We start from the raw sequence: 16,007 nt of genomic DNA on the forward strand, positions 1-16,007 counted from the left end.
AGCCCTTTTCTAAGAGCATGAGCTGGAGAGCCACTTGTAGAATGGAGATTAATAACCTCAACCTAATAAGAATTATTATAACCATGAAATAAGATTAGGGAGAATGAAAGAGCAAGGCAAATTCTTCCAAGATCTAGATTCTTTGATACTTGGAGCATGAACCAAATAATCTCTAATGGCCTGTATTCCAACCTATTCTTAGTGTATTTCCATTTAATGGACTGAGGAATATATTTGAAATTCCATTCATTCGTTAGCTGACTAGCTGTATCCAACAGATTTAGGCTCATATGAATGCTTGGAAATAAGAACCAAAGAATCAGCCCTGACTGACTTTCCCAATAACCCTCTATACCATACACTGATAGGAAAAATGAATGAACTCATCCCTCTGTTGTGTAATATTCTCCCAGGGAGATGGGAGGATGGTTAAGCTCATGGTTCAGGGGGAAAGGGTGGAGAACTTAAGATTTCACGAAAGCAAAGCACTGGCTGTTCTTACAGGGCAGCTGGAGACAATGATGGGGAGGCAGGGGATCCAGCACTGAGAACCACAGCTGTTTCCAACAGAAAGAAGCAGCAGAGGGCGCTAGAGAGCATGGCTCACAAGTGGGAGCCACTGCTAGGGAGAGCAAGCTGGTGCCCTGTGTGCTAAAGCCAGTGCTCAGAGGAAACCTCCAAAGCCAAAGGATGCCTGGGTCTCTTTCCCCCTTCATTAAGAAGTTGAAGGGTGGCAGATTTACTGAGGGCTGCCACTTGCTGTCAAGCCCCAGTTTCTAGGCTTCTGTTTTTAATGAGCTACTAAGTCCACAGGAAGGAAAGGCCTCCTGTGTGAGAGAATGGAAATTGTCGGTCCCTGAGGATAAACCCCAGTTCCTCCACTGACTCGCTGGCAAAGGTCAATAAAAATGACTCATCCACGTCGAAAATATTAAATAGTCATATCTTAATAATACATTCAGCTGTGCTAGTTTCACCTGGGCATGTTCTGCTGGGTGACTAGAGAGCCCAGTTTATGTCTTCTGGGTCAGACCTGTGTTTGCTATGTAGTTGAGAAGGAATTGCTATTTTCAGAGAGGAAAGTACCCCCTTAAAAAACAGATTTACACAGAAAATCACTTGTCTGTATAAATTCTAGTAAAAGACGTTCGCTTTTAAGTCACGTCCAAGAACATATGAGTTCCTCAATGCTGCTCTTCAAGTATATGTGTTAGGGACTTCATTTAACTTAGCGGTTTTTTCTTTTAAGCATGGACTGAGGAGAGACAGAAACCTAGTCAACTGAATCCTAGTTGGAACTAGTCAATGCTAAAAGGTCAGGAATGAAAAACGTATTAGCAGCCAAGCGGGTGCAAAGCACTTTGAAACCTAAGTGCTGTGTAAATTGCTGGTCTTTAAATTAGAGTGCAGGCAACTATCCATCATTTGTACAAGATGGCAGCCACCATGGTATGGATTCTCCTCAAATCATTTAAATGTGAAGTCAGAATGCTTTATATATGTATTGGGGGGTTTTTGATGTAATCAATTTTAACAGAATTCTAGAGGAATTCTGGCTAAGAATGACATCGAAATGACTTTGTATTTTGTGAGAGAGGCTGCCTCTAGACAAGCTGAAAGATGAGGGAAGCCTGCCCAGAATGGAAATCAGGTCTAGGGTATTCACTAAGCTGTACAATACACAGGTTTCTAGTGAGAAGTAACTGTGGCTATAAATCCAATGCTGTATTCCTTTGATTTATTATTTTCTCCAGAAAGCCTAAGAAGCTTGATAAACGGCTTGACAGTCCATTGAACCAAGACCCTAAAGTGAGCAATGTTCTTCAGGGTAAATCATTGCTCATGGATTAGGTGATTCAGAGCCCTGTTAGCACAACGGGAGAAGGTACAAAGAGGCAATCATTCAGGAAATTCAGACTAAACAGCTGCTATTAAGGTCTCAGACCTAAAGTAACCAATCTTTTTTCAATATGGTTTAGATTAATCAGCTTTTTAAAAAATGTCCTAGTGTTCTCTGTTCATGTAAGTGCTTAACAAATGAAATCAATCCCTTGGTGAGTAGAGACAGGGAAGTTCTATAGAGGTATCATGCACGCATGGAAGTATTACTTACAGGCTTATGCTTATATCTCACATATCAAAGTTAAATTACTGGGAATAAAAGGTATCATTTAAAGCTCCACCTCATCAATGTCAGTTTTCTGGTTTTGATGTTGTGCCGTAGTTACATAAGACGAAACCACGGGAGGAAGCTAGAAGAAGTGCACGCTGGGCCCCTCTGTACTATCTTTGCAAGTTCCTGCGCTGTGAATCTAAAATTTTTCAAAATAAAAAGGTTTTAAAAAGTGAGACAGAGTGAATTTCAGGCTTGATGACAAAATTAGCAACCTCTAAAATAATCCCAGGAATACTGTAAGTTTTTAATCACAGTTATGAGTGGCTGAAAGACACAAACCCTTAGAGTATGCATTTCTTTAGATTCAATATTGGTTTTTAGAGAATATCCCTTTGTTTATAAGGAGTGGCATTTTCTGAGTTTCCATCAGACCCACAGAAGTTGGACTTCTGATGAATTTACAATTATGTTTAAAAAACAGTTCCTCTGTTTTTAAAGAAATCTATTAAAATGTTTACTTTTTTCTAGTATTTACACCTTCCTGACTTGCCAGGCCCCATCCTGAGTCTGAAAAAACAACATCCAAAACCTCAATTTTGTAGTAATTTTAAACGTTTTTGACTGTGACCTACAGTTAAAACAATCTGTTACATCAGATTTCAGTATGCAAATACATACCCTCACTCTCACAAACACACTTATAAAAATGAAACAAAATCTAATGAAGCAACACTTACCCATCCTTCTTATAATGAATACTAATATTTATTGCATTCTAGCTTATCTTACCCCATCTTGTTTTAGTCCACTTGAAAGCCCATTAAATTGATTCCACAACCCACCAGTGGTTGTTGTCATATCCACAGTTGTAGAACACCATCCACTCTGACAGGCAATGTGACACATCCGCAGTAACGACTGCATTTTACACTTGAATATCCCTGCACATGCAAGAATGTGTGTGAATGTGGCTGTGTGCATCTGTGTGCAGACATCTATGTGCACGTGCATGAGTGTGTGTGAATGTGGCTGCGTGCATCTGTGTGCAGACATCTATCTGCACGTGCATGAGTGTGTGTGAATGTGGGTGTGTGCGTCTGTGTGTAGACATCTGTGTGCGCGTGCATGAGTGTGTGTGAACGTGGGCTGTGTGCATCTGTGCATAGACGTCTATCGTTGCAGCATGTGCAGACCACGTCCTTTCCAGCTGTAGTGGTTGCTGCCACGTGTATTACCATGTGGGGACCCGGGGCACAAGTTCTAAATCCTGATATAAACCAGCCCACTGGTGCCCCACCCACTGCACTGGCACGGTATGGGGTTTTCCACCCTTGGTCAACCTGAGGCCAGATGTCTAGGGATCACAACTGGCAAGGGAAACCCAAAAGCCATGTTTTCTTAGAACACACCCAGGCAAGCCCACGTGAAGCTACTGAGTTGTGAAGGAGGATATGAGCCCTCCGGAAAACTTCTCTGCTTATTAGAAAAAGCAAAGACTTTGGAACAGGAGGCAACAGAGTTCAACTCCCAGCACTGACAACTATTAGTTGTTGATATTGGACAATTTATGTGACCTCATGTAGCATAAGTTTCTCAATCTCTGTTCAGTGGAAATAATAATGCCTGTTTACGGCGTGTATAACATTGATCTCTTACAGGATCAAAGAAACTAGTTTATAACAATCACCTAGCATTATGCCCCCCACAAGGTAGATAGTTCATAAGTATTAGCTCTTCCCTCATGCCTCATGCTAGATGCACTGGGGAAAACACAGCCCTAATAACCCATCTCCTGTGATAAAGGACCCAGAACTCCCAATCAAGAGCACTTGCCCTCGGCCTCCCTCCCTCCCCTCTCCCCCTTCCTTTTTCCCTTCACCCTCCAAAAAAAAAAAAAAAAAACAAAACAAAACACTTGACAATTGATACTAGAGTTTTATACCAAAAAATCCAAACTCTTGTCTCTTACATCAAGTGATTTAGCTTTATTCTAGATATTGACAATATAATCTTCAGTTGATTTGATTTGCAAACCATTTGCATAGATTGACATTGATTTAGTTTTATTCTAGATATTGACAACATCATCTCCAGGTGATCTGATTTGTGAGACCATTTCTATAGAGTATGCACCAGTAGGCAGGAAGCAGGTGAGCCAGGAAGCAGGTTTCTGCCCACTGATGCACGCATACCCTTCCTAAAATGCACAGTTTCTGGTTTTTTCTTCAGAATGGCCACTACTTTCCCCATTACCACCCCCAACTCTAATGATCCGCCCAGTGTCCTCATCCACCTGCCTATGGAGGGAACATCAAGTTGGTACAAAGCTATCCTGCCCCCTAGCCACAATGAATTGGCCCGGGGCCTCCACCTAAGTCAAACAGAGTCATAGTACTTTTTCACTTGAGACCAATCGAGTATAAAGCTCTAAGGTGTAACACCCATGAGCTACTAGCAGCAATGTTTAATCCAAATGGAGAAAATATGTAGTGTAACCAACAAATGCTAGAAAGAGTCAGAGGCAGGAGATAAATGGAGTCCCTATTCCAGTGCTCCTTGAATGCTTATAATAAATTTTCTTTTTCACTTAATCTAGTTCAAGCTGCATTTCTATCACTTGCATCCAAAAGAATATTAAAACATACTAACCATGCTTCAGTTTGCAAAGACAATTCTGAAGATGGCAAGAGTGTTTAAATTCTAAATATTAGCTAAGTGTCTCTTTTGTTCCTTGTACTTTATTTCCACATATTTTGATTTATTCAACAATTATTTATTAATCTTCTGCTATGTTCCAGACACAGTCTCCTTTAATCCTTACAACACTATGACTTAGGCGTCGCGATTACCATTTTACAGCCAAGAATACTAAGCTTCAGGGAGTAAACTGTCCAGTCACATGGCTAATATATAACATTGTCAGTCTAAGTGCTTCTTTCCTTTTCCTTTTTTTTTTTTTCAGAGGGGTCTTGCTCTTTCGCCCAGGCTAGAGTGCAGTGGCACAATCAATCACAGCTCACTGCAAGCTCAAGCTCCTGGGCTCAAGCAGTTCTCCTGCCTCAGCCTCCCAATTAGCTGGGACTACAGGTACATGCCACCAAACCAAGCCCAGCTAAATTTTTTTTTTTTTTAGAGATGAGGTCTCACTGTGTTGCCCAGGCTGGTCTCAAATTCCTGGGCTCCAACAATACTCCCTCCTTGGCCTCCCAAAGCACTGGGATTACAGGTGTGAGCCACCATACTCATCCCATATTTCCTTTGTGGGTTCTCTCTTCCTCATAAAAACTAGCTTTGATTCTATCTCTTGGCGCTCCAAGAGTCCCGCCTTGGGGCTATTCCTCCCTGCAGTTTCTGACTTCCTGAAACAGAGGCTGTGCCTTCCTCAGCATTAGAGCTGCTTGCTTTCTCAGCTTGCTTTATTCTAGCATCATCTGACCACACAGATGTGATTTCTACTCAGTGTCACTCCCCACACCTTGCCTTGGGTCTTATGGGAAACCAGAGGTAAAAGAAGTGATGAAGTGGAGAGAGAGAGGAAAAAAGTATTTCTCTGGCATGATTTTTCTTACCAGGAATTATCTGCCTGCCCACATCAGACACATCCCCCTGCCCTGGAGAAGAGCTTGACTAGAAGAGGAAGTAGGCCTCGCCTAGCATGGCTCTGAAGCCATTCCCAGAATCTGTAGCTCCTAGATCTGTCTCTGGAGGAAAGCTACATGTGTCATAGCGAAGGAGAATGATAGAGGGTGAGGGCTTTGGAAAGAGGCATGTGAAATGTACTTGTACTGGGATGAAACTCCAAATTATTAACATATGGCAACTGAGCCCTTTTCTTTAAAACTGATTTACCTGGGAATATCTTCTTCAATTGTTGCACATCCATAAAGAAACACAATCACTCCAATTACAGAAGATGGGATGAGGAATGATGTATATAATCCCAGCCAGGCAAAATACAGTCCAATTTTTTCTCCAAAATACTTTCTGGAAAAGAAAGAAAAGAAAATGAAACACATATTAAGAACATCATATACTTTCCTTATTTCTGTTTGTTCTATGCCTAAGGGTGGGTCAACATAGATATTCATTCCTCTTGTGACGAAAACAAAGGGATGGAGGTTGCACGGGGAAGGGGAGGCTTCAGTACAAAGAATCAACAACTGAGCTTTTCTGGAATGACGTGCATTCCATTGGAATCACATTCACACACCTGTCTTGGCTGTTCATGTGAAATAGCTAGCCAAGAGAAAGAATCCAGCCCCAACAGCAAACTAAAAATATGCCACACATTTTGGCACCTTTACCAAACATGAATAACACATCATCATTTCATAAGTGCCATAGCACTCAACCCATAAGAAAACACACCTTTTTGGAACTAGCTTATTTAAACAAAACACACAGATCATATATTTGGGCATGTATACTTGGGTATGCAAACCAACATACACACACTTACTGAAAAACGACTAGAAGAAATCCAATAAAATATTAGTAATGGTTTCTTTGGATGATGGGCTTATGGGTGGTTTTTATTTCTTTATTTTTAAGCCAGTTTACTGAGGTATGTTGGCATACAAAGAGCTGTACGTGTTGAACATATACAACTTGATGAGTTTGCAGATAAGTATACACCCATGAGAACATCACCAATCACTCCATAAAGTTATCCAGTACCTCCAAGTTTCCTTTTGCTCTCACCCTTGTTTTGTTTAATTAAAAAATTATTTTCTCTTGTGTTAAGAGCAATTAATGTGAGATCTACCCTGTTAGCAGATTTTTAAGTATACAATACAGTATCATTAACTATAGGCTCTATATTATACAGTAGATCTCCGGGCATATATGTATTGTGTAACTGAAATTTTGTACCTTTTGACCAATATCTCCTCATTTTCCCCTCTCTGCAGCCCCTGTTAACCACTATTCTATTCTTTGGATCTATGAGTTTGACGGTTTTAGATTCCTCATAGAGGTGGGATCATGCAGTATTTGTGCTTCTGTGCCTGGCTTATTTCACTTAGCATAACGTCCTCCAGGTCCATCCATGTTGCAGCAAATGGCAGGATTTCCTTATTTTTAAGGCTGAATAATATCCATTGTGTGTCCACATTTTCTTTATCCATGCATCTGTCAATGGATGCTTGGGTGGCTTATACCTTCTGGCAATTGTGAATAATGCTGCTATGAATATAGGAGTGCAGACATCTCCTCAGGATGTTGACTTTAATTCCTTAAGATATACATCCAAAAGGGAGACTGTTGAATCAAATGGTAATTATATTTTAATTTTTTGAGGAACCTCCATACTGTTTTCCACAGTGACCGCATTGCCACCAACAGTGAACAAGGGTTCCCTTTTCTCCACATCTGCACCAACACTTTTTATCTTTTGTTGTTGGACAATAGCATTCTAATAAGTGTGAAGTGATATCTCACTGTGGTTTTGATTTGCATTTCCCTGATGAATTGTGACATTAAACACTTTCTCCTATACCTGTTGGTCATTTGTATGTCTTCTTTGGTGAAATGTCTATTTAGGTCCTTTACTTAATTTTTTTATCAGGCTATTTGGTTTTTTGTGTGTTTCTTTGTTTTGCCACTGAATTGTAGAAGTTCCTTATACATGTTGGATATTAATCCCTTACCAGATATATGGTTTGCAAATATTTTCTCCCATTCTGCATATTGACTTTCACTCTGTTGATTGTTTCCTTTGCTGTGTAGAAGCATTTTAGTTTGATATATTCCCATTTGTCTATTTTTGCTTTTGTTGCTTGTGCTTTCTGTGCCATATCCAAGTCCAATGTGTAGAAGCTTTTTTCCCCTGTTTTCTTTTAAGAGTTCTATTGTTTCAGGTTTTACATTTAAGTCTTTAATCCATTTTAAGTTGGGTTTTTGTATGGTATAAAATAAGGGTCCAACTTCATTCTCATGCATGTGGATATCCAGTTTTCCCAATATCATTTATTGAAGAGTAAGTAGTATGAACAGTTTAACAATATTGATTCTTCAGCTCCATGAACACAAGGTATACTTTGTAAACCAAAACTTATTCTGAGACAGGTCTCAATCAATTTAGAAGTTTATTTTGCTAAGGTTAAGGACATGCCTGGAAGAAAAAAACACAGAGTCACAGAAACAGTCTGTGGTCTGTGCCTTCCTCCAAAGATGAATTTAAGGGTTTCAATATTCATCGGTGCCTTTCTCCAAAGATGAATTTAAGGGCTTCAATATTTAAAGGGGAAATATTGGGCTAGTGGGCTGGAGGGGAAAGAGGGAGGGTATGGTATGGTCATCCACATGTTGCAGGAGAAAATGAGCAGGTAGCAGAATAGTCAATTAAGTATTCATCTTGTGCTCAGCAAATCGGCACTTAATATAAGGTGAACATAGAGCAGCTGCCTGTGGAGATATTTAGCCTTTTATCTGTAGCTGTCTGCTTAGGAACAAAAGGGAGGGCAGCTTCTTGCATCACTCAGCTTTCAGCTTAATTTTTTCATTTTGGCAGAGTGAATTGGGGTCCCAAGTTTTTATTTTCCTTTCACACCTTCCTTTTATTTATATCCTCTTTAATTTCTTTTATCAACGTTTTATAGTTTTCAATGTGCAAATCTTTCACCCTCTTAGTTAAACTTATTCCTAGGTATTTTATTCTTTTTGGTGCTATTGTGAATGGTACTTTTCTTCTTAGTTTTCTTTTTAGATAGGTTGTTAGTGCACAGAAATGAAAATGATTTTTGCAGGTTGATTTAGTATCCTGCAACTATACTGAATTTATTATTTCTAAAAGTTTTTTGGTAGAGTCTTTAGGGTTTTCTGCATATGAGATCATGTCATCTGGAAACTAAGGCAATTTTACTTCTTCCTTTCCAATTTGATAGCTTTTATTTCTTTTTCTTGACTAATTGCTCTTGCTAGAAATACCACGTTGAATGTGAGAGGTAAGAATGGGCATTTTTGCCTTATTCCAGATCTTAGAAAAAAAACTTTTTTTACTATTGAATATGATGTTAGCCATGAGATTTTCATGAATGACTTCTATTGTGTTGATGTTAGTTCCTTCTATTCCTAATTCATTGACAGTCATGTTCCTTCCATTCCTAACTTGTTGAGCTGTAAGTTCTTTCTATTTTTAATTTGTTGAGAATTTTAAATCGTGAAACAGTGCTGACTTTTGTCCATTTTTTTTCTCCATCTATTGAGATGTTCATGTGATTTTTATCTTCATTTATTGATTTGCATATGTTGAACCATCCTTGTATCCCAAGGAAAAAAACCCTTCTTGGTCATGGTGTCTGATCCTTTTAAAGTGCTGCTGAGTTTGATTTACTACTATTTTGTTGAATAGTTTTGCATCTACGTTCATCAGGGATGTTGACCTATAGTTCTCTTCTTGTAGTGTCTCTGTCTGGATTTGGTATCAGGGTGGTGCTTGCCTCAGGAAGAATTTGTAAGTCTCTCCTCTTTTCCTGTTTTTTGGAAGACTTTAAGAAGTATTGGTATTAATTTTTCTTTGAATGTTTGGAAGGATTCATCCATGAAACTATCTGTTCCTGGGCTTTTCTTTGCTGAGAGTTTTGTTTTGTTTCATTTTGTTTGTTTGTTTTCAATTATTGCTTGAATCTACTTATTTGTCATTGGTCTGTACAGGCTTCCTATTTATCCTTGATTCAATCTTGTTGATTATATGGTTCTAAGCATTTATCCATTTATTCTAGATTGTCCAATTTGTTGGTGTATAATTGTTCATAATAATTCCTTTTTATTTCTGTAACATCAGGTGCAAAGTCTCATCCTTCATTTCTAATTTTATTTATTTGCAACTTCTTTCCTTTTCATTAGTCTAACTAAGGATTCGTCAACAAACTCTTAGCTTCATCAATTTTTTGTTTTTCTGTTTTCATATCCTGTCTTATATTTATTTATCCCCTAATCTATATTATTTCTTCCCTCCTGCTAATTTTGGGCTTAGTTTTTTCTTCTTTTGTAGTTACTTGAGATGTAAAATTAATTATTTGAGATCTTTCTTCTTCTTAAATGTAGCCATTTACCACTATAAACTTCCTTTTAGTATTGCTTTTGCTGCCTCTCATAAGTTTTAATATGTTGTGCTTTCATTTTCATTTGTCTTGAGATATTTTCTAATTTCCTTTTTTGATTTATTCTTTGACCTAGATATAGTACTCTTGATTGGCAGGTTTTTTAAATTTCAATACTTTGAATATATCATCCTACTCTCTCCTCACCTGCAAGGTTTCTGCTGAGAAGTCCACTAGTAGCCTTATAATGGTTCCCTTGTTTGTGATAAGTCACTTTTTTCTTGTTGCTTTCAAAATTCTCTACTTGACTTTTGAGAATTCAATTTTTTTCTTTTTTACATTTATTTATTTTTATTTATTTTATTTATTTATTTATTTATTTATATTTTTATTATACTTTAAGTTCTAGGGTACATGTGCACAACGTGCAGGTTTGTTACGTATGTATACATGTGCCATGTTCGTGTGCTGCACCCATTAACTCGTCATTTACATTAGGTATATCTCTTAATGCTATCCCTCCCCCCTCTCCCCACCCCACAACAGGCCCTGGTGTGTGATGTTCCCCTTCCTGTGTTCATGTGTTCTCATTGTTCAATTCCCACCAATGAGTGAGAACATGCGGTGTTTGGTTTTTTGTCCTTCTGATAGGTTGCTGAGAATGATGGTTTCCAGCTTCATCCATGTCCCTACAAAGGACATGAACTCATCATTTTGTATGGCTGCATAGTATTCCATGGTGTATATGTGCCACATTTTCTTAATCCAGTCCATCAAATTCAATTTTAAGGTGACTCAGTGTTAACCTCTTTGGGTTCAATGTACTTGGGTACATTGAGACTTCATGAATTTGGATGTTCATTTCTCTTCCTAGATTTGGAAAGTTTTTAGCAATTATTCCCTTAATAAGCTTTCTTCCTCTTTTTCTTTCTTTAGTCTCCTTCTGAGTCTCCCAGAATGCATATATTGGTTCACTCTATGGTGTCCCATAAGATCTTAGGCTTTCTTCACTTTTCAACCTTTCTGTTTTTTCTGTTCTTCCGACTGGATAATTTCAAATGACTTGTCTTTAAGTACAATGATTCTTTCTTCTGCTTGACCAAGTATGCTACTGAAGTTCTGTATTAAGTTTTTTAGTTCAGTCATTGTATTCTTCAGTTCTAGGATTTCACTTTGGCTCTTTTTTATTATTTCTATATGTTTGTTGAACTTCTGATTTTGTTGACATGTTATACTCCTAATTGTGTTTAGCTGTCTGTTCTCTTGCAGCTCATTTAAGACAATTATTTTGAGTTCTTTGTCAAGCAGATTATGGATATCAATTTATTTAGGGTAAGTTACTGGAGTCTTTTTCAGCTCCTAATAAGGTAGTATCGAGAATTCCTGATTCTTTGTGATCCTTGTAGCCTTAGAGTGGTGTCTGTGTATTTGAGAAGTAGTCACCTCTTCCAGTTCTTACTGACTGCTTTCAGCAGGCAAAGACCTTCATCAGTCATGCTGGTCAGAGATTATGGGTGGATCAGCTGCCAGAGTAAGCAGGCAGTGCCTGCGGGCAGACTTAAGCTGGGTGGGGTCCAAGGGTGGATCTGCTGCCATGGTCCGTGGGTGGGCCTGTTGCCAGAGTCTGTGGGTGGGCTGGCCTGCTGCTGGGTATGTGGGCAGGTGGGCCTGCTTCCAAGGTCCACTAGAGGACTGGGCTGCTGCGCCACAGACAGAGATTCTGTTGAGATCTGCATGAGAGTAGGGCTGCATTTGGTTTCCATGAGCAGTCAAGTTTGCTGATGGGTCCACGGGCAGATGAGCAGGGCTGCCCCTGGGTCTGTGGGAAAGTGGGTGGGTCTGTCACCAAGTCCCCTGCTCTGTGGAAGTGGTCATGCCATTGGGGACATGGGAAGCCAGCTTCCTGTAGGGTCTGTATATGGGCAGAGTTCCTTATGAGCAGTGAACAGGCAGTGCTGTCACTAGGTGTTCAAGTGAGCAAGGCTGCTTCCAGGCCCATGGCTGGTGGTTCTGCTGCCAGAAAGCATGAGCCTGCATTCTCAGTGAAGTTTTTCTAGGTCTTGAGCTCCACCAGGGTTCTGCAACCTCTTACCTGAAAACCAGAGCTCTCATAAAGGTCTATTTTGTATATAGATGGTTGCTAAACAGGTGTTTCAGTAGAAGGGTGAGGCCTGGGGACTTTCTATTTTGCCATCTTGCTGATGTCACTGTATTTCTTTATTTCTATCTTTCTGCACTTAAAATTTTTCTACTTTGTTAATAAATTACTTTTAGAATGAAAAGTGATTTCTTGTAAAAAGAAAATTTACCAACTCATATATTTTTATTACAAGTTTATAAAGTTTGTAAATTACCAGTTAAGCCTCTAAAATACAATTTCCCCTTAGATAAATATTGACTATGGATGCCTGATGAGAAAAGTACAATCTACCAAGGAGCAATATATTTAATTTCCCAAAAGCCTGTGACGTAAAACACAAGAGGGAAATGAGAGCTCTGTCCACACATTGATAGAAGAACTAAAGGGTAAGAAGAACAGTGAATAGGATCTATTTACCCACCACCACAGGTTCTGCTTCCACTTATGATGCAGACAATTGCAAGAGAATATAGTTCCCAGCCTAACAACAAGAGAAATCTGGATAATCTGTGAAATTATAACTTTGCTTGAGCTCATCAGAGAGCTGAAGTTGTAAGGTAACCAGGAGAACTGAATTTTTTTTAAATGCCAAGTCCGTCCAGGGAAAACTGGGATATGTGAATAGTTTTACATTTGACAGAGAATGGGAGGATGCGATAGTCCCTGTAAAAGTAAGAAGAAATAGCTAAAATTTTAAAAATTCAGAAAGATGAGTATAAGTTAGCATGACAGAGTGTAATAACTGGAAGCTTCAAACACAAGAGCAGTTTGCCCTTATGCACAAGGTCATTTCCATAGACCTCATAAGGAAGATAATGGGTAAGGTAAGAGACCAAAGAGAGTCAGTCCCCTTAAGTTGCACACAGGTATGAAAAACCATGCACTTCCTGGAATCTTCTCTTATTCAAATCGAAAGCCTTAAACGGAAGAAGGGACCTGACCCAAGGACCTAGGCAAAGACCCACTGCTTCTGAAGCCCGAGATGGGTTGCACATACAGCCGATGGTACTTGGTGGAAAGGGTGGAAACTCTCCTAGGCCCGAGATTCTGCAAAATTACAAATTAGAAGTCTGTTACTGCTGAGGAAGGGCAGGAAACTGTCTCCCACCCAAGAATCTGTACCAGTAAAGGACAGAGTTTAATTGTGAGGGGCAGAGGGAGGACATGAATTCTAAGAAACCGTCATTTCTGAGGCTTGAGTGCACAGAGCCTGCCTAAGACTGAGATAGGCATGAGAACAAAACTGCCCTATTTCCCTCCACAGCCCCACTTATAGTAAACAAGTGATAAGCTCCATTTATCACTGAGCAACAAACATCAACAGCCTGATTCTAGGGGAGCGGGAGGGGCATGGAGAAATACCCCATTGTGGCACAGGCATGCAGGGACTGCTGAAATCTGAGAGTGGTAAAGAAACAATGAGGACCAATTCAGCACTCCAGGGCTCACACAAAGCATAAGGTAATAGCGTACTATCACTGAAGGAATCTGAAGTTTGTAGTGCAGTGCACTGAAGGTGACTCTTGCAACAACAAAACCTCACTCAACTAGATTGACTCAACTCTCCTCACTACTGACCTGATGGAATGGAAGAGGCATGTAGGCATAATACTACTTACCTCAGTTTCCACTGTCATTTTATACACAATGTATGGCATTCAATAAACAAATAAAATAAAATAAAATCCCATTGTCAGGAAATAAGGCAATCAATGAAGCTAAGCTTGATTCAGATGTCAGAATGATGCAATAGGGATTTTTAAATAACTCTAATTAATAGATTAAAGCAGAATCTACTACAAAAGATGTATCAAAAGAAAATACAAAGGGAAAAAAGAGTGAGGAAAAACAAATCTAGCATTCGAGAGCTGCAGGACAATATCAAAGGATCTATCACACATGTAATTAGAGTTCCAAAAGGATAAAAGAAAGAACAGAGAAGAATATTTAAATATGTTATGGCTAAGAATTTTCCAAAAGTTACAAAAAAAAAAAAAACAACAAAACACAAATCAACAATGTTCAGAGAACCCATGAAGAATAAATACAAAAACAAAAATGAAACCCCACATACTTAGATACGTCATAGTCAAATTTCCGAAAACCAAAGATTGAAAGAGAAAAATTTTAATTAAGCTTGTGGGGGAAGGAAATCAGATACAACAGAAGATCAAAGTCATTATATAGGATTTATAACCAATTTTTTGGCAGAAACTATGCAAGCCAAAAGTTAATAAAGTGACACCTTAGAGCAGGGGTCCCCAACCCCCAGACCACAGACTGGTACCTGTCCATGTCCAGTTAGGAACCAGGCCACACAGCAGGAGGTGAGCAGCAGAGTGAACCATCATTACTGCCTGAGCTCTGCTTCCTATCAGATCAGCAGCAGCATTAGATTCTCAAAGGAGCATGAACCCTATTGTGAACTGCGCATGGGAGGGATCTAGGATGCACACTTCTTATGAGAATCTAATGCCTGATGATCTGAGGTAGAACAATTTCATCCCAAAACTATTCTCCCACTGTCCCCAGCCTGTGGAAAAATTATCTTCCACGAAACTGATCCCTGGTGCCAAAAAGGTTGCGGACTGCTGCCTTAAAGTATGGAAAGAAAAAAAACTATTAACTTAGAGTACTATATATAAATTAAATATCTTTCAAAAATGAAGGCAAAACAATGTCTATTTTAGGGAGTAAAAGCCAAGAGAATTTATTACCAGCAAATGTGAACTGTAAGAAATGTTAAAGAAAGATCTTTGGGCAAAAGGAATATAATCTCAGTAGAAATTTGGATCTACACAATGAAATAGAGAGTACCGGAAATGGTGAAAACAATGACAAGTAAGAGATATTTTTGCTATTAATTCCTTTAAAAGGCAATTCACTACTTAAAGTATGCTTTCTCAATCACCATTTCTGAAACACCATCACCATTATTTCTGCATTTCTTTCTGTATTTTAAATGTTTCTACTTTGTTAATAAATCACTTTTAAAATTAAAATCGATTTCTTTTGAAAACAAAATTTACCAATTCATTATATTTTTTATTCCAAGTTTATAAAGTTTGTAAATTACCAGTTAAGCCTCTAAAAAGCAATTTCCCCTTAGATAATATTAATTATGGATGTCTGAGGAGAAAAATGCAATCTACCAAGGAGCAATATATTTCATTTCTCAAAAGCCTGTGAGATAAAACACAAGAGGGAAATGAGAGCTCTGTCCACCTTAATGGAAGGACTAAAGAGTAAGAACAGTGAATAGAATCTTATTTCAACTTTTATATTTTAAAAAGAAATTTTTTTAGAGAGCTCTCATCCCAAACAACTATCTTAATGGTACCTATGGTAAGATCTAATTGAAAAGAGGACACAGAAGAGTGTAACTGCTAGCTTTTAGGGGTTTCCTTAAAAAAGATGTAAAGAATAGAAATTAGAACAAAAGCCAAATTACACATCCACTATAATTCCTCCTTCTCCACCTACTTCTAACCTCCCTTTATCTCCAATTCCCTGTCCCTGGCCCTCCAGAAGGTCTTCTGGATATCTGGACCCCTAGCTTAAACTTAACCCTCTCCTCAAAATCTGGTCCCATCCCCTCAACAGATTCCTTTAACACCTAAAACTCCTCCAACTTTCCCAGAAAATCCTTTAAACGTTCAACTGCTCGCTTTAACTTCCCTGCAAGATTTACAAAAAGCACTCTTGCCTG

General features: G+C 38.8%; 1 protein-coding gene across 3 annotated transcripts in view; it reads right to left on the bottom strand.

Moving 5' to 3' along the window:
- Positions 1-16,007, bottom strand: part of ANO2 (anoctamin 2) — a 383,578-nt gene that overhangs the window by 182,216 nt on the left and 185,355 nt on the right. For all 3 annotated transcript variants that reach the window (NM_001278597.3, NM_001364791.2, NM_001278596.3), the window contains one exon: positions 5,966-6,100. In NM_001278597.3, the coding sequence (NP_001265526.1) occupies positions 5,966-6,100 (135 nt within the window). The remainder of the gene's footprint in view (positions 1-5,965; positions 6,101-16,007) is intronic.

This window comes from Homo sapiens, chromosome 12 (assembly GCF_000001405.40).
Source record: "Homo sapiens chromosome 12, GRCh38.p14 Primary Assembly".
Taxonomy (NCBI): Eukaryota; Metazoa; Chordata; class Mammalia; order Primates; family Hominidae; genus Homo; species Homo sapiens.